General features: G+C 38.9%; 1 annotated feature.

The window, feature by feature from the left end:
* Positions 5874-6043: an enhancer, noted in NCBI's record as "experimental_103459 CRE fragment used in MPRA reporter constructs". NCBI's record gives its function as "activates a minimal promoter by MPRAs in K562 erythroleukemia cells, with activity observed for the non-introgressed 8:5968831 variant allele {active_cell/tissue: K562}" and the evidence as "EXISTENCE:reporter gene assay evidence [ECO:0000049][PMID:34662402]".

A 6738-nucleotide genomic window follows, 5' to 3' on the forward strand; every position in this document is an offset into this window, starting at 1 on the left:
CACCAATGCACTCCAGCTTGGACAACAGAGCAAGACTCCATCTCAAAAATAAATAAATAAATAGATAAATAAGTAAATAATGCTGTAGCAAGCCAACCTCAAAAGATATGATGGCTCAAGCACAGCAGAAGTTCATTTCTTGCTCACATGTATATATATATATATATATATATATATATATATATATATATATACATATTTTTTTTTTTTTTGAGATGGAGTCTTGCTCTGTCACCCAGGTTGGAATGCAGTGGCGTGATCTCTGCTCACTGCAACCTCTGCTTCCCCGGTTCAAGTGATTCTCCTGCCTCAGCCTCCAGAGTAGCTGGGACTATAAGTGCTCACCATCACACACAGATAATTTTTGTATTTTTAGTACAGATGAAGTTTTACCATGTTGGCCAGGCTGGTCCCAAACTCCTGACCTCAGGCGATCCACCTGCCTCAGCCTCCCAAAGTGCTGAGATTACAGGTGTTAGCCACCGCACCCAGCCTTGCTCACATATAACTTTCATCAGTGTTCCTATTGGAAGGTGACTCTCCTCCAAGCAGTGACTCGGGGACCCAGACTCCTCCCATCTTGTGGTCCTGTCATCTTCAAAATGTGGCTTCCAAGTCACTATGCTTGCGTGTATTATAAGGGTGGAAAAGGAATTCACATGTGGAAATAGGAAAGTGGTACACATTCTATTCATTCATTTATTTACTCATTTATTTATTCATGTACTGATTGATTGACCTATGTATTTATTAGCTGTTACTATCTAAAGGAGAAGTAAAATGTGGTCTAGCAGTATGCCCAGGAAAAAGGGTGATTGTTTGGGAACAGCACTCCAGTCTTTGCCATGGCTAAATATATTAATATCCCCATTTTATAGATTAGTAAATGTTGGCACTGGAGAGTAAATAACTTACCCAAGTCATACAGTTGTTAAGTGTCAGAGCCTGGATTCAAACCCAGGTAGTCTGGTCCAAGAGTCCTGCTCTTAACAGAGATGACTGATTATTTCTCCTTAAAGATGTGATGAATTGAATGAAGCACCTGTGGGTATGTCACGTTCCATTTCTCAGCAGGACAGGCAGAGAAGTAGCATATTTCCTTCTTTTGAAGCCTTAACCCTCCTTCCTTCTTTCTTCCATCCCCTCATTGCCATTTAACTTATACTTTAGTGGATTCTTGTACAAGATTTCTCTATCAAGAGCTCCTACCAATACTAAGAAAGTTTTTGGTATTGAGTTCCAAATTTCAAAACTCTTATCACAGACTTGAATAGAAGCAGCAGTTACTACGGTACTGTGGTACTTTAATGACAGCAAGTCCTCCAGCCCAGTAAACTCCTACACTGAAATGAAATGGATAAGGGACAATCCTTTTTTATACTGGAACTTGAAAGTATAAAGGATATTCTATCAATTATAAAACTTTTTTCTATGAAAAAAATACTTTTAGATTCTGTAAGGTTTTTTCCCTAAATGTTTTAGTCTTGTTTCTCTTACACCCCTTTGCCTTTATTTCTAAGGCCTTGATCCACATTGAGTTAATATTTGAAAATAAGAAGTCTCACATGCACACGTATATTTATTGCGGCACTATTCACAATAGCAAAGGCTTGGAACAAATCCAAAAGTCCAACAATGATAGAATGGATTAAGAAAATGTGGCACATATACACCATGGAATACTATGCAGCCATAAAAAATGATGAGTTCATGTCCTTTGTAGGGACATGGATGAAATTGGAAATCATTCTCCGTAAACTATCGCAAGGACAAAAAACCAAACACCGCATGTTTTCACTCATAGGTGGGAATTGAACAATGAGAACACATAGACACAGGAAGGGGAACATCACACTCTGGAGACTGTTGTGGGTGGAGGGAGTGGGGAGGGATAGCATTAGGAGATATACCTAATGCTAAATGACGAGTTAATGGGTGCAGCACACCAGCATGGCACATGTATACATATGTAACTAACCTCTGCACATTGTGTACATGTACCCTAAAGCTTAAAGTATAATAATAATAAAAGAAAAGAAAAGAAAAGAAGAAAATAAGAAGTCTCATAAAGGAACTATATTGTACTTACGAAAAAGCTGCTTGTTTTCAGTGCTGTGCTCATAATAACTCTTTCCTCTCAGTAAGCCCTGTCCTTCAGGGCTCATTCATCTCTACCTTTCCACACCCCACTCGCTTTATGTCAACGTTTGAACTCTGCTTCCTCACAGAGCCTGCCAGTGGGCAGGACATGGAATGGGCCCGTGACTCTAGGCCTCCCCACAAGCTGAGTTTTGGGTTCTCAGAGTCTTCCCAGTTCTTAGAGACAAATCTCCCCAAACACTGTTGTTCTGTCTGACTACAAATGTCCCTGCTACAATTTCCGTTTCTATCCTTTGAGCTGACCCCCAGTCCTGACTTGGTCACATTAGACTGCACTACTGCCCTCCCATTCCACCCTCCTGCTTTGGAGGAAAGTTAAGTAGTTCTGCAGCCAGATCACTTTTTTCTTGCATAAATGTAGCCAGTCCTTTTTTCTCCCAACTAGCCACTGCTGATGAGTTCCCATTTTGCCTCAGAGCATAAACCATTACTATTGAGACCTTGGATAGCACTAGGGAAATACTAACCACATTCAGATACCTAGGTTAGCCACACTTGGATTATATTTACCAAACAGCTCCTTTTTTCCCTAGGCATACAGTTGAACAACATTTTCAAACCTCCCTTTTAGTTAGTTGTTGCCACACGCTTGAGTAATAGCCAAAGAAAAATGAATAAAAAGATGTGTACCACTCCTTCAATCCTCACGCTAATTCTTTTCCACATAATGCACACAAGCACGGTGACTTGGAAGCCACATTTGTGAAGATGGCAGGATCACAGACAGAAGGAGCCTGGGTCCCTGGGTCACTGTTTGGAGGAGAGTCACCTTCCCATCGGAACACCTGATGAAAGTTGTATGTGAACAAGAAATGAACTCTGTTGTGCTTGAGTCATGATACCTTTTGGGGTTTTTGTTGTTGTTGTTGTTGTTACAGCATTATTTTGACAAATCTACAACCTCCTAGGGCTATTCTGAGGGTGAAATGAGTGAATGCATGTATCCTGCTTAGAGGGGAGCTTAGTAAATAGCATGCGAACTCCTAGGAAATGTTTGCTATTATTATTACCAAAAGTTAAAGAGATGTGGAGGTTCTCAGTCTAAGCAAATAAATATAGTTGATTAGGCAAGTGTTAAATATGACCTCAATGTATCTCATTTGTATGTTTTTTTTAGATAATCAAGTTTCCCATTAAGAAAGCCACAGATGAAGGGCATCAAGTATCATTCATTCAACAATCAGCCAAATTGGACTGAGCACAAACTCTACACCAAACCTTAGGATTCATCTATAAAACAGCTTTGCTACTTGAAGTGTGGTTCTCAGACAAGCAGCATCAGCATCACCTGGAAGCTTATTAAAAACTACAGACTCTCAGACCCCCTCCTAGACCCACAGACTCAGAAGACGCATTTTGACAAGTTCCCTAGGTAGCTCATATGCACGCTGAAGCTTCAGAAGCTTTCTAAAAACGGATACCGTCCCAGACATCAGAGTACTGTCCATCCGTGAAAAGGAAGACGAGAAAGTAATTAACCCTGGCAGGGAAAATCAGGAAAGACTTTACAGCTGAAAAGTTTTGTTTTTTAATTTGGATCTTGAAGGATAAATCAAAGTTTACCAGATGGAAAAATAAATGCAGGCAACTTTGATAAAGAAGCTAGAGTGTAAAATGACACAGCCATGAAGGACTGTGATCTTTTCCTGTGGGGTTGCAAAGACAGTCTGTGGGCTGACTGTGAGGGCAGAACCAGAAAACATCTTCAAATTTACGTACACAAGGAGCTTGGATCCAGACCCCAAATTCGGAACACTTTGCAACCTGCTCTCCTGCACACCAGACACTAAGCTTGGAACAGGAGCCTTATCCTGTTCATAAAATTGAACGGGCGGCCTCCAACGATAGGTGTCACCATTTTCATGGGGCTTATGGTAAATACCACTGAAGATATCCAACCCTAAGCCCTGTATCAAGAGCCTCTGAGTACCCTGGAGGAGGAGGAGAGACTGCTCACTCGCCTAATACCCTGGGTTCCCTTAAAATCATGGGAAAGTTCACCTCAGCTGGGGCAGGGGTGGTGCAAAGCAGGATGATGCTGAGCTTACCGGGTAAGGCAGCAACTATACCTACCTAGGGGGTTAAGAGACAGCAAATGAAAATGGATCCCTCAAAACCTGGCATCATCCACAAAAGGTAAAAACAGATGGATACATGATGAAGGCTGTTTTTTTAGTATCAAAATAATTTAATACTGTCATAGTATTTTAAAATTGTACTCCACAAATGCTTAAAAATGAAACAATATTTGAGGTTGCAGGGCAGCTACCAGGACGAGGGACTTTCTCTCAGGGCACAAGCATTGTGTTTGCTCATCTTCCCACCAATCCTACAAAGCATTTTCCGCTGTCAGTCACATTTTCTAGGTGAAGAAATCAAATTGGAGAATCCAACCATATTTAAGTGAAACTGCATTCTAATCCTGGACCCATCACTTATTATCTGACACCACACTCCCTCTAGAAAACATACCCCTCCCATTCCTGAGTCTCCCCAGTGGTTAACCCCAAACATATCAAGTTTGCAGTTGATGGCACACACTCTGTGGCTTTGCATATTGTATTAAACAGCATTACCCATGCCCTCCAGTGTATATCATGGAAGCTGATCCTCCTACATACTCCAGCCTGGGTAACACCATGCTTTACCGTACACTTCCAATACTACCAACTAACCAACACTACCAAGTGTACCAAGCCATACAGCATTGCCAATAAGGCATAGTGTACGTTATAACTGGTAAGTTTAAGTGCATGGTACACCAGCTACACCATACACTTCGCCTTACTGGAAATGTTGTAATGGCTTGTGGCTAAATTTAGCTGGCTAAATAAATGAGCATTTTATCATGCTGCCACTGAAGGTGACAAACCTTCCCCATGTCCTCCTTGTGTCTATGTATAGGCTAATCTCCTCATGAAAGAATTTGTGATTTGAAATTTCATTTTGCCTTCACCTACAATATACTATTTCCAGAAGAGCTCTGGGAATACAAAATGGAAAGGCAAGAACCATCTTGACAATTCCCTCTCCAGCCAGCAAAGCCGTTCCTGGGAAGATCGTACCCTCCAGCACTCATCAAAAGTAATTACCCTGGAGAGGGAACACGGTTTGGAAAAGTAAGACCATTTCCATTATTACTTTCTTGTATTAAATAATAAATATTTAACACGATAAAGTTAAAGCAATCAAGATGACAAATGACAAAGAAAAAGGGTATGAGGTACAAAAATACTACTTGCTCTCCAGAGAGATGTTCCCAAGCAAAATAAACAATAAAATACTTTCATTGTTCTTTTAGCATTTTCTTCTAGCTTTATTTGAGAATTAAATGCTCCCATTGGGTTTAACCTGAGACCTAGTCTAACACTGAATCTTAGATGTTTGGCTTCAAACAGACCACAAACTCACGCAGGAATCCTGGGATTTACAAAGGAGTGTGTGCAACCAAAAAGGGTTTACAAGCTTTGATGAGCAAGTCCAGATACAAATTCTTATTAACACACTAATTTTCTCTGCCACAAAAGGAATTTATATTGTGAGAGCAGGCGTTCTACATGCAGAAGTTAAAAAGAGAACAATAATCCAGTTCCTAGCAGGCAATATCGGGAAAAAATAATATTAATACAATGAGAAATGTTGAGCTGATTTTTAATATGATTTTCTTAACACTTTTAAAATATTTCAATGATTATTGCAATGAAGTTGGTGCCAATTCTTCTTGATGTCCAGAAATACAAGATCAATTTGGACCTTAAATTTGCACAGGAAACTTACTACTAAAGCCTGCTTTCTGAATAGGTGAATGGGCAGCTATCTACAATATACAATTCAAAGAGCCTAGATTTTGTTTCCCAAAACAAATCTTACAACCTGGTTGGCTGAAATCTCACCATGAAAGCACTTTTGATCTGGTACAAAAGTAGCCTAAATATTGCTGAGCTACTTATAGGGAAAGGGATGGAGTTTTATTTTTTCAGCACTTACTTAGTCCCAAGAAATTGTTAGGCAGCTGGGTGCAGTGGCCCATGCCTGTCGTCCCAGCACTTTGGCAGTCCAAAGCAGGAGGATCATTTGAGCCCAAGATTTCAAGATCAGCCTGGGCAATAGAGTAAGACCTTGTCTCTACAAAAAAATTAAAAAATTAGCCAGGCATGGTGGCACATGCCTGTTGTCCAGCTACTCAGGAGGCTAACAGAGCCAGAGAGACAGAGCCAGACCCTTTCTCAAAAAAAAAAATATACACATATATATATTATATACAACATATATTAGGTACTTAACAAGTTACCTAACATATAATATATACTATATACAAAATATTTAATATATAGTATATACCAATATATATACTATATATTATATAAAATACATAATATATAGTATTTATAATGGTATATAGTATATATTATATAAATAAATATAATTTATATATATACTATATATTTTCATATATAGTATATACATTTTTATATATAATTTATATATATAATTTTTATGTGCTAATTATATATACTATATATATTTTTATATATACAATTTTATATAATATATAATTTTATAGATATATTTTTATGT

This window comes from Homo sapiens, chromosome 8 (assembly GCF_000001405.40).
Source record: "Homo sapiens chromosome 8, GRCh38.p14 Primary Assembly".
Lineage (NCBI taxonomy): Eukaryota > Metazoa > Chordata > Mammalia > Primates > Hominidae > Homo > Homo sapiens.